At 58.9% G+C, this 16,124-nt stretch overlaps 2 protein-coding genes and 3 pseudogenes across 2 annotated transcripts; all 5 read left to right on the top strand.

Annotated features, from left to right (window-relative positions):
* Positions 1 to 4,677: 4,677 nt before the first annotated feature.
* On the top strand, positions 4,678 to 6,468 carry LOC112267998 (putative uncharacterized protein FLJ46235; annotated as a pseudogene).
* A 3,704-nt stretch (positions 6,469 to 10,172) lies between these two features.
* Positions 10,173 to 11,899, top strand: LOC124901638 (putative uncharacterized protein FLJ44672). Its single transcript, XM_047421138.1, has one exon. It carries the CDS (start codon positions 10,340 to 10,342, stop codon positions 10,886 to 10,888), a length of 549 nt encoding a protein of 182 aa, XP_047277094.1. The 5' UTR covers positions 10,173 to 10,339; the 3' UTR covers positions 10,889 to 11,899.
* Positions 11,900 to 12,051: 152 nt separating this feature from the next.
* Positions 12,052 to 12,630, top strand: LOC124901639 (putative uncharacterized protein FLJ44672). The gene has a single exon (XM_047421139.1). The coding sequence runs from the start codon at positions 12,082 to 12,084 to the stop codon at positions 12,628 to 12,630; it is 549 nt and encodes a 182-aa protein (XP_047277095.1). The 5' UTR covers positions 12,052 to 12,081.
* Positions 12,631 to 12,695: 65 nt separating this feature from the next.
* Positions 12,696 to 13,918, top strand: LOC101928507 (putative uncharacterized protein FLJ46235; annotated as a pseudogene).
* On the top strand, positions 14,249 to 15,450 carry LOC100507393 (putative uncharacterized protein FLJ44672-like; annotated as a pseudogene).

The raw sequence follows: 16,124 nt of genomic DNA, 5'->3' as shown, positions 1-16,124 counted from the left end.
ATTAGCCGGGCATGGTGGTGGGCACCTGCCCAGCTACTTGAGAGGCAGAGGCAGGAGAATCACTTGAGCCTGGGGGCGGAGGTTGCAGTGAGCCGAGATCGCGCCACTTCACTCCAGCCTGGGTGAAAGAGCGAGACTCCATCTCCAAAAAAAAAAAAAGTATTAACATGTAATGATTTTATTATTAATATGTAATGTATAATAAATATTTTTAAAAACTTGTATTATATCAACATGTAATGGTTTTATTAATATGTGATAATATTTTTAAAATTTAGTCATTTTCTAATTTTAATATATTTATGTAAAGAAAAAGTCTTAAGAGATCTTCAATAAAGTTAAAAAATGTAAAAGGATGCTAGACCCCGAAAGATTGAGAACTTCTAGTTTAGAAATATTCCAAGTAAGCCACATACAACTTGCTACTTAATCTATTTTCTTTCTTTCTTTTTTCTTTTAGGAGATGGGGTCTCACCCTGTCACCCAGGCTGGAGTACAGTGGTGCCATCACAGCTTGCTGCAGCTTTGAACTCCTGGGCTAAGGATCCTCCTGCCTCAGCCTCCTGAGTAGCTGGGACTGTAGGTATACATGATGACACCTGGCTAATTTTTAAATTGTTTTGTAGACATGGGGTCTCACTTTATTGGCCAGGCTGTTGTCAAACTCCTGGCCTCAGGTGACCCTTCTACCCCTGCCTCCCATCCTAGAGGTATGAGCCACGACAACAAGCACTTGTTCAATTTTCTAAAAAAATAAAAAATGTCTAAAGGCTGTGGGATGATGGCAGGAAAAGTAGAAAAACAGAAAAGTTCAAATAACTTACGCATATTCTTTTGACAGCAAGGAGAACTTTTAGTATATATGTTCCTTACAAAAAAACAAAAGGCAAATAAACTGTTGTATAAGAACTTCAACACACACTGTACAATATTCCCACCTTGCTGACATCAGTTATGGAAATTCTTCATGGTTTACTTGACTATCGCTATCAGTATTTTGCTTCTCTGATCATTTTTATCAACTTCCTCATCGGTTAACTGCTCTCCAAGGTATATCGTATTGTGACATACTGCTGCTGCACAAACATGGCCAGCGTCTTCTTATTAAACATACACAATGCTTCCCTAATTTCTTTTTTTTACCATCTATCTCTGTGTTTTGCATTTTTCTTACCTTTATTGTCAGAGACTCCAAAAAGTCCGTTGTACTGATTTATCACAATTTGCTTCATTTATTTTTCGCTTATATGGAATTTTACCCAACAGATCTCATTAGAATTTCTAACCTGTTTTGTTTTTTTTTTCCCCCCCAAGACAAGGTCTTGCTCAGTTGTCCAGGCTGGAGTGTGGTGGTGCTATCACAGCTGTCTGCAGTCTCAACCTCCCAGGCTCAAGCAATCCTCCCACCTCAGCCTCCCAAGTTGCTGAGACTATAGGTGCTTGCCTCTATGCCCAACTCATATTTGGACTTTTTCTATATGTGGGTTCCAGAGGGATGACTGCGAAACGTGAGTATGCATGGATTTTGATATATGCAGAGATAGGTGGCTGGAACTAATTCTCTCTGTATACCAAGGGACAACTGTATGCGGTTTTACAATTATGCTGTGGGACACATATTGTCCCATAGCCTTTAAAATAATAATTTGTAATGACAAATAATTTTTAATAGAGTGGAATAATAATATTGATAAAAGTAGCAACTGGCCAAGTGTGGTGGCTCACACCATTAATCACAATACTTTGGGAGGCTGAGGCAGGAGGATGGCTTGAGGTCAAGAGTTTGAGACAGGTCTCGGAAAGAAAGGGAGTCACCATCTCTACAGAAAAATACATGAATTAGCCTAGTGTGGTGATGTGTCCTGTAGTCCCAGCTACTTGGGAGGCTGAGGTGGGAAGATCACTTGAGCCCAGGGAAGCTGAGACTGCAGTGAGTCATGATCAGGCCTCTGCACTCCAGTCTGGGTGACAGAGTGACACCCTGTCTCAAAAAAGTAGCAGCTAACATGAAGTGACCTTTTACCAGGTGCCTATAAATATCATAGTTTAATTTCTTATAACTGTTTATTCCATTTAACTACTCTGTCTTCAATTACTCCTAGATTTTCACTGTGTTTGTACAGTTGACCTTTTGTTTAGATTGAATTGTCTCCCCAAGGTATTTCCAGAAGTAAGATTACTGTGAGTAATGGTGAATGGACATTCTCATTGCCCTTGATGTAAAGTGACTAGGTTTTGGGTGCCTCCCAGCTATAATCCCAGCCCTTTGGAGGCTAAGACAGGACGATTGCTTGAGGCCAAGAGTTGGAGGAGGCAGTAAGGTGAGACCCTGTCTCTATTATTTTAAAAAATTGCCAAGCTTTACCCTGGAAGGCTATGTACTACTTAAACACTCCTCATAGTATAAGAAAGTGTCCATTTCACTGCACCTCTGCCAGCACAGGGTATTATAATTTAATAAGTTTTTTTCATTATTTTAAATAGATAAAAGACCTCATGTTACTTTGTCACATTTTAACATCTTTCCTTAGCTTATTAGCTCTATTTCTTTTCTGTCTGTAAATGGTTGTTGTTGTTTTGTTCTTTGAGACAGGGTCTTGCTCTGTCACCCAGGCTTGATGACTGTAATGGCATAATCATGACTCACTGCAGCCTTGACCTCCCATGCTCAAACTACCCTCCCATGTCAGCTTCCCAAGTAGCTGGGACTGCAAGTGTGCACCAGCACTCCCAGCTAATTTTTTTCTTTTTTTGGTTAGAGACAGGGTCTTGCTGTGCTGTCCAGGCCGGTCTCTAGCTCCTGGCCTCAAGCAATCCTCCTGCGTTGGCTTCTGAAATTGCTGGAATTTCAGGCATGAGCCATGATGTCTGGCCTGTGCTAGTCTTTTATTTTCCAGAGTTCTCTTTACTTTGTGCTAGCCAATCTCTCATTATGCTGTTCCCCTGTTATAATGAATAATTCTCTGTGTTAAATTTTACCACTTTAAACCTTTGAATGGTTTATGTCTCCTGATTGGACTCTAATATGCTAGGAAGGGTCCCAGGAGATAAACCCACACAGATGGGATTTGGGCATAGGTTTGGTTATCCAAGGGGCAGTGCTGAGCTCCTTGCCAATGGGAAATGGAATGCTGGTGATTTCCAGGAAGTGACCTCACAGTGACTCAAGCTACCACTTACTGTTGATTGTGATGAAATGCCAGCTGTGGCACATGCCTTGGGAGTTAAGTGGTTGCTGCACTTGACCACTATGAAGACTGCTGTGGGAAGGGTCCTTTTGGATGCACTTGAGCAGGGGTCCCCAACCCCTGAGCCATGGAGCTGTAAGGAGCCACACAGCAGGAGGTGAGTGGTGTCGAGTGAGGGAAGCTTCATCTGTATGTACAGCCACTCCCCTTTGCTCACATTCCTGCCTGAGCTCCTCCTCCTCTCAGATCAGCAGCAGCATTAGATTCTCATAGGAGCTCACACCCTATTTGTGAACTGTGCATGTGAGGGATCTAGGTTGCGCTGTCCCTGTGAGAATCTAATGCCTGATGATCTGTCACTTTCTCCCATCACACTGAGAGGATGGGACCATCTAGTCGCAGGAAAACAGGCTTAACACGGCCACTGATTCTACATTATGGTGAATTCTATAATTTCATTATATCTTACAACATAATAGGGGAAATAAAGTACCTAATAAATGTAATGTGCTTGGCTCTTTTGGCCCAGCTCCTGCCTCCCAGCAGCCTCTTCAGGCCCAGAACTTTCTCCACTCAGCCGCTACAGACCAAGCTCATGACTCACAATGGCCTATTTAGGCCCATACCATACCTCACGACAGTCTCCGCAGATGAGGCTACTGCCTCACAACAGCCTCCACAGGCACAGCTCCATCGTTACAATGGCCTCTTTAGACCCAGCTCCTGCCTCCCAGCCTTCTCTCCAGGCCCTGAACTTTCTCAAGTCGACCTCACCAGGCCCAGCTCCTGCCACTCATTGGCCTCCCAAGGGCCAGCTTTTGCTTCACGGCCACCTTCCAAGACCCAGCTCCTGTTTTACAGTGGCCTCTGGAGGCCCATCTTCTGACTCCTGGCAGCCTGTACAGGCCCAGCTCCTGCCTTACAATGGCCTCTTTAGTCCCAGCTCCTGCCTCTTTGCAGGAGGGCCAAATGTCCGCAAGTCCAGGCCACAAAATCCAGGGCCAAAATGTCCGCAAGTCAGCCTCTCAAGGCCCAGCTCCTGCCTTTCGTTGGCATCTCTAGGCCCAGCTGCTGCCCCCAGGTGGCCTCTACAGGCTGTGCTCTTTCTTCTGACTGTGTCTGGAGGTCCAACTCCTGCCTCAGAACAACCTCTTTTGGCTCAGCTCCTGCCCAGCTCCTACTGGCCTTTGTAGGCCCCAAACTGCCTCAAGTCAAGCTTTCCAGGCCCACCTTCTGCCTCCCAATGGCCTGGACAGGCCCAGCTCCTGCGTGACAATGGCCTCTCCAGGCCCAGCTTTTGCCTCACAGAGGCCTTCCCCAAACAAGGTCCTGCCTGCCTCCCAGCAGCTTCAACAGGCCCAGATCCTGCCTCACACTAATCTCATTAGGCCCAGCTCACGCCTCACGGTGGCCTCTCCAGGCCCAGCTCCTGCCCCCCGACAGGCTCTCCGTGCCGGAAACTTCCTCAAGTCGGCCTCTCCAGGCACAGCTCCTGCATCCCAGCAGCTTCTCTAGACCGAGAACTTTCTCAAGACTGCCATTCCAGGCCCAACTTGTGCCTTCCGTCAGCCTCTACAGGCTCAACGTCTGCCTCACAGCAGATTTTCCCAGCCCAGCATGTGCCTCACTGCAGCCCCCTAGGCCAAGCTCCTGCCTTTCAGCAGCCTCTACAGGCCCCACTCCTGCCTCAATGGCCTCTCTAGGGCAAGCTTATGCCTCACAGTGGCCATTCTGGCCCAGGTTTTGCCTTTTGGCAGCATCTCCAGACCCAGAACTTCCTCAAGTGGGCCTCTCCAGGCCCAGCTCTTCCTCCCGGCTGCATCTCCAGGCCCACCTCCTACCTCACAACAACCTCTTTCGGCTCAGCTCCTACCCAGCTCCTGGCAGCCTTTATAGGCCCAAAACTTTCTCACATCAAGTTTTCCAGCACAACCTTCTGCCTCCCGGCAGCTTGAATAGGCCCAGCTCCTGAAAGACAGTGGCCTCTCTAGGCTCAGCTCTTGCCTCACAGAGGTCATCCCTGGCCAAGTTCCTGCCTGCCTCCCAGCAGGCTCAACAGGCCCAGCTCCTGCCTCTGACAGTCTCTCCAGGCCAAAATCTTCCTCAAGTAGGCCTCTCTACAGGCTGATCTCTTGCCTCACACTGGCCTGTTTAGGCCCAGTTCATGCTTCTTGGCAGCCTCTCCAGGCCCAGCTCCTGCATCTTGGCCTCTCCAGGCCCAGCCTCTGCCTCCCGTCGGCCTCTACAGTCACAACATCTGCCTCACAGCAGATTCTTCAGGCCCAGTATCTGCCTCACTGTGGACCCCCCAAGCCAAGCTCCCAACCTTTCAGCAGCTTCTACACACCCAGCTCCTGCCACCCAGTAGCCTCTTTAGGCCAAGCTGATGCCTCACAGGGGCCTTTCCAGGCCCAACTTTTGTCTCATGGCAACCTTCCCTGGCCAGATTCCTGCCTGTCTCCCAGCAGCCTATACAGGCCCAGGTCTTGCCTCACACTGGCCTCTCTACATCCAACTCATGCCTCACGGTGGCCTCTCCAGGCCCAGCTCCTGTCCCAGGACGTCATCTCCAGGCCCAAAACTTCCTCAAGTCAGCCTCTCTAGTCCCAACTGCTGCCTCCTGGTGGCCTATGAAGGCCCAAAATCTCCTCAAGTTGACCTCTCCAGGCCCAGCTCCTGCCTCCTATCAGTGTCTACAGGCCCAACCTCTGTCTCATGGTGGCTTCTCCAGGCCCAACTCTTCCTCTTGGCTGAGTCTACAGGCACAACTGCTGCCTCATAACAGCTGCCTCACAACAGCCTTTTTTGGCCCAGTTCCTGTCCAGCTCACGGCAGCAAATGTAGGCCCAAAACTTCCTCAAGTAAAACTCTCCAGGCCCACCTTCTGCTTCCCGGTGGCATGAACAGGCCCAGCTTTGACTTGAGAACAGCCTCTGCAGGCCCTGCTCTTACCTCTCAGGGGCTTCTCCAGGCCCAGCTCTTGTCTCATGGCAGCTGCCCCAGGCCAAGTTTCTGCCTGCCTGCCAGCAGCCTCAACAGGCACAGCTCCTCCCTCACAGTGGCCCATTTAGGCCCAACTCATGACTGTCGGGCCATTTCCAGGCCTAGTGCCTGCCTCCTGGCTGACTCTTGAAGCCCAAAACTTCCTGAAATTAGCCTTTTGCTCAACTTCTGTCTACTGTTGGACTCTACAGGCCAGCCTCTGCCTCACAGTGGACCCTCCAGACCCAGATGGTGTCTCACTGTGGCATCCTCAGGCGGAGCTCCTGCCTTTCGGCAGCCTCTACGGGCCCAGCCCCTGCCTTGCAATGGCCTCTTTAGGCCAAGCTCATGCCCCATGGCGACTTTTCCAGGCACAGCTTTTGCCTTTTGCAGCCTGTCCAGGCCCAGAATGTGCTTAACTCGGCATCGCCAGGACAAGCTCATCCTCCCGGTGCGTCTACAGGCCCGTCTCCTGCCTCACAACAACCTCCTTTGGCCCAACTCCTGCTGAGCTGCTGGCAGCCTCTGTAGGCCACAGACTTCTTAAAGTAAAGCTTTCCAGGCCCACCTTCGGCCTCCCAGCAGCCTCAGCAATCAAACTATTCCCTCACTGCGGCCACCGAAAGCCAAGTTTCTCCCTGCCTCACGGCATCCTCCGAAAACTGAGCATTTGCCTCACGGTGGCCTCCCCAGGCCACGAATCTGCCTGCCTCCCAGGCAGCTGCTGCCTCACAATGGTCTCTTTAGGCCCAGCTCATGCTAGAAGACGGACTCTCCAGGCACAGCTCTTGCCTCCTGGCAGCCTCTGCAGGCCCAAATTCTCCAAAAGTTGGCCTCTCCTAACTCAGCTTCTGCCTCATGTCGGCCTACACAGGCCCAGACTCTTACCACACAGTAGACCCTCCAGCCCCACCACTTGCCTGAGCATAGCCTCCTAAGGCCAAGCTCCTGCCTTTCAGCAGCCTCTACAGGCCCAGCTCCTGCCTCGCAATTGCCTTTGTAGGCCAAGATTGTGCCGCGAAGTGGCCTTTCCTAGCCTAACTTTTGCTTTTTGACGCATACTCCCGTCCCAAAACTTCCTCCAGTCAGCCAGTCCAGGGTAAGCTCTTCCTCCCAAAGGCTTCTGCAGGCCAAAATCGTCCTGAAGTCACCCTCTGCAGGCCCAGCTCCTGCCTCCAAGTGCTGTGTAGGCCAAGCTAATGCCTCACAGCACACTTTCCAGGCTGAGCATTTCCTTTTGTGCATACTCTTCAAGCCCTGAACTTACTCTAGTTGGCCTCTCCAGGCCAAGCTCTCCTTTCCAGTGGCCTCTACAGGCCAAAATTGTTCTCAAATCAGCCTCTCCAGGGCCAACTCCTAGCTACCGGTGGCTTCTGCACGCCAAAATCGACCTCAAGTCAGCCTCTCCACACCCAGCTCTTGCCTCTAAGTGGTCTCTGCAGGAGCAAAACTTCAAGTCGGCCTCTCCAGGCCCAGCCTCCTGCTTCCCGAGGGCATGTACAGGCCCAGCCTCTGCCTCACAGCAGACTCTCCACGCCCAGCTCTTCCCTGTCTGTGGCCTCTCCAGTCCAAAGCTGTTACTGCCTTTCGGCAGCTTGTACAGGCCCAGCTCCTCCCTCACGGTGGTCTCTTTTGGCCCAACTCATGCCTCTTGCAACCTACCCAACTGTCACCTCCTGCCTCACACTGGCCTGTTGAAGCCCAGCTCATGCCTCTTGTGGCCTCAACGGGCGCAGCCCCTGCCTGACGGTGGCCTCTACAGGCCCGGACTCTACCTCACAGTGGGCTCTCCAGGCCCATCTCTTCCTAACTGTGGCCTCCTGGGGCAATGCTCCTCCCTGTCGGGAGCCTCTGCGGGCCCAGCTCCTGCCTCCCAGTGGCGTCTGTAGGCGAAGCCCGTGCCTCAGGGCAGCCTTTCCAGGCCTAGCGTTTGCTGCTTTGCATCCTCTCCAGGCCCTGGACTTCCTCCAGTCGGCCTCTCCAGGCCGAGCTCTTCCTCCCGGCGGCCTCTGCAGGCCCAGACTGTCAAGTCGGCCTGTCCAGAGCCAATTCCTGCCTCCTGGCAGCCTCTGCAGGCCCAAGTCATCCTAAAGTCGGCCTCCCTAGGCCTAGCTCCGGCCCCTCGGCAGCCTCTCCAGTTGCAAAAGTTCCTCGAGTCAGCCTCTACAGGCCCAGCTCCTCCTGTCTCCCAGTGGCCTCTTTCGGCCCAGCCCAGCTCATGCCTCCCGGCGGCCTTCCCAGGCCCCGCTTTTGACTTTCGGCGGCCTCTGCAGACCCCGAACTTGACGTCCAGTCAGCCTCTCCAGGCTCGGCCTCCTGCCTCCCAAAGGCTTGCACAGGCCCAGTCTCTGCCTCACAGTGGACTCTCCACGAACAGCTAGGTCTCGCCTCACTGCGGCCTCCCGAGTCCAAAGCTCCTGCCTCTCGGCCGCTTCGGCAGGCCCAGCTCCCGCCTGCCAGTGGTCTCTTCAGGCCCATGGGGCTCATTCCTCACAACGGCCTTTCCAGGCCCAGTTTTTCCCTTCCGGCGGCCTCTCCGGGCCCAGAAGCTCCTCAAGTCAGCCTCTCCAGACACACTTGCAGCCTCCCGGCGTCCTCTCCGGGCCCAGCTCTTCCTCCCGGCAGCCTCTGCAGGACCAGACTGTTGTCAAGTAGGCCTGTCCAGGGACAGCTCCTGCCTCCCGGTGGCCTCTGTAGGCCCAATTCGTCCTCCAGTCAGCCTCCCCAGGCCCAGCTCTGGCCTCTTGGCGGCCACTCCAAGTGCAAAACTTCCTCGAGACCGTCTCTCCAGGCCCAGCTCCTCCTGTCTCCCAGTGGCCTCTTTCAGCCCAGGCCAGCTCATGCCTCCCGGCTGCCTTCCCAGGCCCCGCTTTTGACTTTCCGCAGCCTCTGCAGGTCCCGAACTTGACCTCCAGTCGGCCTCTCCAGGCCCGGCCTCCTGCCTCCCGAAGGCTTGCACAGGCCCAGCCTCTGCCTCACAGCGGACTCTCCACGCCCAGCTCGCTCTCGCCTCACTGCGGCCTCCCGAGTCCAAAGCTCCGGCCTCTCCGCCGCTTCGGCAGGCTCAACTGCCGCCTGCCAGTGGCCTCTTCAGCCCCATGGGGCTCATTCCTCACAACGGCCTTTCCAGGCCCAGTTTTTCCCTTCCGGCGGCCTCTCCGGGCCCAGAAGCTCCTCAAGTCGGCCTCTCCAGACCCACTTGCAGCCTCCCGGCGTCCTCTTCGGGCCCAGCTCTTCCTCCTGGCTACATCTACAGGCCCGACTCCTGCCTCCCAACAACCTCTTTGGACTCAGTGCCTGCCCAGCTCCTGGTGGCCTTGGTCGGCCCACAGCTTCCTGAAGCCAAGCTCCCCGGGCCCAGCTCAGGCCTCACGGTGGCCTCTCCAGGCTCACCTCCTGCCCTCCGACGGCGTCTCCAGGCCCCAAATGGCCTCGGGTCGGTGGGCTTCTCCAGGCCCAGCTTGGGCCTCCCGGCGGCCTCTGCAGGCTCAAGTGGTCCTGAAGTCAGCCTCTCCAGGCCCAGCTCCGGCCTCCCAGCAAGCAAGCTCTTTTGGCTCAGCTCCTGCCCAGCTCCCGCCGGCTTTTGTAGACCCTGAACTTTCTCCAGCGAAGCTCCTCAGTCCCACCTCCTGCCTCCCGGTGGCCTGTACAGGCCCAGGTCTGGCTGGAGAACAGCCTCTGCAGGCCCCGCTCTTGCCTCGCAGGGGCATCTCCAGGCCCAGCTCTGGCCTCACGGCGGCCTCCCGGGACGAAGTCCCTGCCTGCCTCCCAGCGGCCTGTGTGCGGCCCAGCTCCTCCGTCACGGTGGCCTGTTGACGCCCAACTCATGCCTCTGGCACCCTTTCGAGAGGCGTGAGCCCCTGCCTCACACTGGCCTCTCTCACGCTGAGGGAGGTCAGCTTGAGCCCCTGCCTCACACTGGCCTCTCTCACGCTGAGGGAGGTCAGCGTGAGCCCCTGCCTCACACTGGCCTGTCTCACGCTGAGGGAGGTCAGCGTGTGGCCCTGCCTCACACTGGCCTCTCTCACGCTGAGGGAGGTCAGCGTGAGGCCCTGCCTCACACTGGCCTCTCTCACGCTGAGGGAGGTCAGCGTGAGGCCCTGCCTCACAGTGGCCTCTCTCACGCTGAGAGAAGTCCTCCCTCACGCTGGCCTGTTGAGGCCCAGTTCATGCCTCTGTTGGCTTCTCCAGGCCCAGCCCCTGCCTGTTGGCGCCCTCTAGAGGCCCAGCCTCTACCTCAAGAGTGGGCCCTCCACGCCCACCTCTTGCCTCGCCGTGGCCTCCTCGGACCAGGCTCCCGCCTTGGGGCGGCCCCCGCAGGCCCAGCTCCTGCCTCACGGCCCTCCGGAGGCCAAGCTCATGCGTCAGGGCGGCCTCTCCCGGCCTGGCGTTTGCTCCTTTGCATGGGCTCCAGGTCCTGCACTTCCTCCAGTCGGCCTCTCCAGGCCCAGCTCTTCCTCCCGGCAGCCTCTGCGGGACCAGACTGTCGTCAAGTAGGCCTGTCCAGGGACAGCTCCTGCCTCCCGGCAGACTCTGCAGGCCCAAGTCGTCCTCAAGTCAGCCTCCCCAGGCCCAGCTCCGGCCTCTCGGCGGCCTCTCCAGGTGCAAAACTTCCTCGAGTCCGTCTCTCCAGGTCCAGCTCCTCCTGTCTCCCAGTGGCCTCTTTCAGCCCAGCCCAGCTCATGCCTCCCGGCGGCCTTCCCAGGCCCCGCTTTTGACTTTCCGCGGCCTCTGCAGGCCCCGAACTTGACTTCCATTCGGCCTCTGCAGGCCTGGCCTCCTGCCTCCCGAAAGCTTGCACAGGCCCATCCTCTGCCTCACAGCGGACTCTCCACGCCCAGCTCGCTCTCGCCTGCGGCCTCCCGAGTCCAAAGCTCCGGCCTCTCCGCCGCTTCGGCAGGCCCAGCTCCCGCCTGCCAGTGGCCTCTTCAGGCCCATGGGGCTCATTCCTCACAACGGCCTTTCCAGGCCCAGTTTTTCCCTTCCGGCGGCCTCTCCGGGCCCAGAAGCTCCTCAAGTCGGCCTCTCCAGACCCACTTGTAGCCTCCCGGCGTCCTCTCCGGGCCCAGCTCTTCCTCCCGGCTGCATCTGCAGGCCCGACTCCTGCCTCCCAACAACCTCTTTGGACTCAGTGCCTGCCCAGCTCCTGGTGGCCTTGGTCGGCCCACAGCTTCCTCAAGCCAAGCTCCCCAGGCCCAGCTCAGGCCTCACGGTGGCCTCTCCAGGCTCAGCTCCTGCCCTCTGACGGCGTCTCCAAGCCCCAAATGGCCTCCGGTCGGTGGGCTTCTCCAGGCCCAGGTTGGGCCTCCCGGCGGCCTCTGCAGGCCCAAGTGGTCCTGAAGTCAGCCTCTCCAGGCCCAGCTCCGGCCTCCCAGCAAGCAAGCTCTTTTGGCTCAGCTCCTGCCCAGCTCCCGCCGGCTTTTGTAGACCCTGAACTTTCTCCAGCGAAGCTCCTCAGTCCCACCTCCTGCCTCCCGGTGGCCTGTACAGGCCCAGGTCTGGCTGGAGAACAGCCTCTGCAGGCCCCGCTCTTGCCTCCCAGGGGCGTCTCCAGGCCCAGCTCTGGCCTCACGGCGGCCTCCCGGGACCAAGTCCCTGCCTGCCTCCCAGCAGCCTGTGTGCGGCCCAGCTCCTCCGTCACGGTGGCCTGTTGAGGCCCAACTCATGCCTCTGGCACCCTTTCGAGAGGCGTGAGCCCCTGCCTCACATTGGCCTCTCTCACGCTGAGGGAGGTCATCGTGAGCCCCTGCCTCACAGTGGCCTCTCTAACGCTGAGGGAGGTCAGCGTGAGGCCCTGCCTCACACTGGCCTCTCTCACGCTGAGGGACGTCAGCGTGAGGCCCTGCCTCACAGTGGCCTCTCTCACGCTGAGGGAAGTCCTCCCTCACGCTGGCCTGTTGAGGCCCAGTTCATGCCTCTGTTGGCTTCTCCAGGCCCAGCCCCTGCCTGTTGGCGGCCTCTAGAGGCCCAGCCTCTACCTCAACAGTGGGCCCTCCACGCCCACCTGTTGCCTTGCCGTGGCGTCCTCGGGCCAGGCTCCCGCCTTGGGGCGGCCCCCGCAGGCCCAGCTCCTGCCTCACGGCCCTCCGGAGGCCAAGCTCATGCGTCAGAGCGGCCTCTCCCGGCCTGGCGTTTGCTCCTTTGCATGGGCTCCAGGTCCTGCACTTCCTCCAGTCGGCCTCTCCAGGCCCAGCGCTTCCTCCCGGCAGCCTCTGCAGGACCAGACTGTCGTCAAGTAGGCCTGTCCAGGGACAGCTCCTGCCTCCCGGCAGACTCTGCAGGCCCAAGTCGTCCTCAAGTCAGCCTCCCCAGGCCCAGCTCCGGCCTCTCGGCGGCCTCTCCAGGTGCAAAAGTTCCTCGAGTCCGTCTCTCCAGGTCCAGCTCCTCCTGTCTCCCAGTGGCCTCTTTCAGCCCAGCCCAGCTCATGCCTCCCGGCGACCTTCCCAGGCCCCGCTTTTGACTTTCCGCGACCTCTGCAGGCCCCGAAATTGACCTCCAGTCGGCCTCTGCAGGCCTGGTCTCCTGCCTCCCGAAAGCTTGCACAGGCCCATCCTCTGCCTCACAGCGGACTCTCCACGCCCAGCTCGCTCTCGCCTGCGGCCTCCCGAGTCCAAAGCTCCGGCCTCTCCGCCGCTTCGGCAGGCCCAGCTCCCGCCTGCCAGTGGCCTCTTCAGGCCCATGGGGCTCATTCCTCACAACGGCCTTTCCAGGCCCAGTTTTTCCCTTCCGGCGGCCTCTCCGGGCCCAGAAGCTCCTCAAGTCGGCCTCTCCAGACCCACTTGCAGCCTCCCGGCGTCCTCTCCGGGCCCAGCTCTTCCTCCCGGCTGCGTCTGCAGGCCCGACTCCTGCCTCCCAACAACCTCTTTGGACTCTGCCTGCCCAGCTCCTGGTGGCCTTGGTCGGCCCACAGCTTCCTGAAGCCAAGCTCCCCAGGCCCAGCTCAGGCCTCACGGTGGCCTCTCCAGGCTCAGCTCCTGCCCTCCGACGGCGTCTCCAGGCCCCAAATGGCCTCGGGTCGGTGGGCTTCTCCAGGCCCAGCTTGGGCCTCCCGGCGGCCTCTGCAGGCTCAAGTGGTCCTGAAGTCAGCCTCTCCAGGCCCAGTTCCGGCCTCCCAGCAAGCAAGCTCTTTTGGCTCAGCTCCTGCTCAGCTCCTGCCCAGCTCCCGCCGGCTTTTGTAGACCCTGAACTTTCTCCAGCGAAGCTCCTCAGTCCCACCTCCTGCCTCCCGGTGGCCTGTACAGGCCCAGGTCTGGCTGGAGAACAGCCTCTGCAGGCCCCGCTCTTGCCTCCCAGGGGCGTCTCCAGGCCCAGCTCTGGCCTCACGGCGGCCTCCCGGGACCAAGTCCCTGCCTGCCTCCCAGCAGCCTGTGTGCGGCCCAGCTCCTCCGTCACGGTGGCCTGTTCAGGCCCAACTCATGCCTCTGGCACCCTTTCGAGAGGCGTGAGCCCCTGCCTCACATTGGCCTCTCTCACGCTGAGGGAGGTCAGCGTGAGCCCCTGCCTCACACTGGCCTCTCTCACGCTGAGGCAGGTCAGCGTGTGGCCCTGCCTCACACTGGCCTCTCTCACGCTGAGGCAGGTCAGCGTGTGGCCCTGCCTCACACTGGCCTCTCTCACGCTGAGGGAGGTCAGCGTGAGGCCCTGCCTCACACTGGCCTCTCTAACGCTGAGGGAGGTCAGCGTGAGGCCCTGCCTCACACTGGCCTCTCTCACGCTGAGAGAAGTCCTCCCTCACGCTGGCCTGTTGAGGCCCAGTTCATGCCTCTGTTGGCTTCTCCAGGCCCAGCCCCTGCCTGTTGGCGGCCTCTAGAGGCCCAGCCTCTACCTCAACCGTGGGCCCTCCACGCCCACCTCTTGCCTCGCCGTGGCCTCCTCGGACCAGGCTCCCGCCTTGGGGCGGCCCCCGCAGGCCCAGCTCCTGCCTCACGGCCCTCCGGAGGCCAAGCTCATGTGTCAGGGCGGCCTCTCCCGGCCTGGCGTTTGCTCCTTTGCATGGGCTCCAGGTCCTGCACTTCCTGCAGTCGGCCTCTCCAGGCCCAGCTCTTCCTCCCGGCAGCCTCTGCGGGACCAGACTGTCGTCAAGTAGGCCTGTCCAGGGACAGCTCCTGCCTCCCGGCAGACTCTGCAGGCCCAAGTCGTCCTCAAGTCAGCCTCCCCAGGCCCAGCTCCGGCCTCTCGGTGGCCTCTCCAGGTGCAAAACTTCCTCGAGTCCGTCTCTCCAGGTCCAGCTCCTCCTGTCTCCCAGTGGCCTCTTTCAGCCCAGCCCAGCTCATGCCTCCCGGCGGCCTTCCCAGGCCCCGCTTTTGACTTTCCGCGGCCTCTGCAGGCCCCGAACTTGACCTCTAGTCGGCCTCTGCAGGCCTGGCCTCCTGCCTCCCGACAGCTTGCACAGGCCCAGCCTCTGCCTCACAGCGGACTCTCCACGCCCAGCTCGCTCTCGCCTGCGGCCTCCCTAGTCCAAAGCTCCGGCCTCTCCGCCGCTTCCGCAGGCCCAGCTCCCGCCTGCCAGTGGCCTCTTCAGGCCCATGGGGCTCATTCCTCACAACGGCCTTTCCAGGCCCAGTTTTTCCCTTCCGGCGGCCTCTCCGGGCCCAGAAGCTCCTCAAGTCGGCCTCTCCAGACCCACTTGCAGCCTCCCGGCGTCCTCTCCGGGCCCAGCTCTTCCTCCCGGCTGCGTCTACAGGCCCGACTCCTGCCTCCCAACAACCTCTTTGGACTCAGTGCCTACCCAGCTCCTGGTGGCCTTGGTCGTGCCACAGCTTCCTGAAGCCAAGCTCCCCGGGCCCAGCTCAGGCCTCACGGCGGCCTCTCCAAGCTCAGCTCCTGCCCTCCGACGGCGTCTCCAGGCCCCAAATGGCCTCGGGTCGGTGGGCTTCTCCAGGCCCAGCTTGGGCCTCCCGGCGGCCTCTGCAGGCTCAAGTGGTCCTGAAGTCAGCCTCTCCAGGCCCAGTTCTGGCCTCCCAGCAAGCAAGCTCTTTTGGCTCAGCTCCTGCCCAGCTCCCGCCGGCTTTTGTAGACCCTGAACTTTCTCCAGCGAAGCTCCTCAGTCCCACCTCCTGCCTCCCGGTGGCCTGTACAGGCCCAGGTCTGGCTGGAGAACAGCCTCTGCAGGCCCCGCTCTTGCCTCCCAGGGGCGTCTCCAGGCCCAGCTCTGGCCTCACGGCGGCCTCCCGGGACCAAGTCCCTGCCTGCCTCCCAGCAGCCTGTGTGCGGCCCAGCTCCTCCGTCACGGTGGCCTGTTGAGGCCCAACTCATGCCTCTGGCACCCTTTCAAGAGGCGTGAGCCCCTGCCTCACATTGGCCTCTCTCACGCTGAGGGAGGTCAGCGTGAGCCCCTGCCTCACACTGGCCTCTCTCACGCTGAGGGAGGTCAGCGTGAGCCCCTGCCTCACACTGGCCTCTCTCACGCTGAGGGAGGTCAGCGTGTGGCCCTGCCTCACACTGGCCTCTCTCACGCTGAGGGAGGTCAGCGTGAGGCCCTGCCTCACACTGGCCTCTCTAACGCTGAGGGAGGTCAGCGTGAGCCCCTGCCTCACACTGGCCTCTCTCACGCTGAGGCAGGTCAGCGTGTGGCCCTGCCTCACACTGGCCTCTCTCACGCTGAGGGAGGTCAGCGTGAGGCCCTGCCTCACACTGGCCTCTCTAACGCTGAGGGAGGTCAGCGTGAGGCCCTGCCTCACACTGGCCTCTCTCACGCTGAGAGAAGTCCTCCCTCACGCTGGCCTGTTGAGGCCCAGTTCATGCCTCTGTTGGCTTCTCCAGGCCCAGCCCCTGCCTGTTGGCGGCCTCTAGAGGCCCAGCCTCTACCTCAACCGTGGGCCCTCCACGCCCACCTCTTGCCTCGCCGTGGCCTCCTCGGACCAGGCTCCCGCCTTGGGGCGGCCCCCGCAGGCCCAGCTCCTGCCTCACGGCCCTCCGGAGGCCAAGCTCATGTGTCAGGGCGGCCTCTCCCGG

Source organism: Homo sapiens, chromosome 7, assembly GCF_000001405.40.
Source record: "Homo sapiens chromosome 7, GRCh38.p14 Primary Assembly".
Taxonomy (NCBI): Eukaryota; Metazoa; Chordata; class Mammalia; order Primates; family Hominidae; genus Homo; species Homo sapiens.
Note: the sequence above shows the minus strand (reverse complement) of the source record. Positions and strands in the feature narration are given on the sequence as shown.

Excerpts from the sequence above, each read along its gene's own strand:
- LOC124901639 (XM_047421139.1), top strand. The coding sequence starts at position 12,082 with ATGCCTCTGTTGGCTTCTCCAGGCCCAGCCCCTGCCTGTTGGCGGCCT.
- LOC124901638 (XM_047421138.1), top strand. The coding sequence starts at position 10,340 with ATGCCTCTGTTGGCTTCTCCAGGCCCAGCCCCTGCCTGTTGGCGCCCT.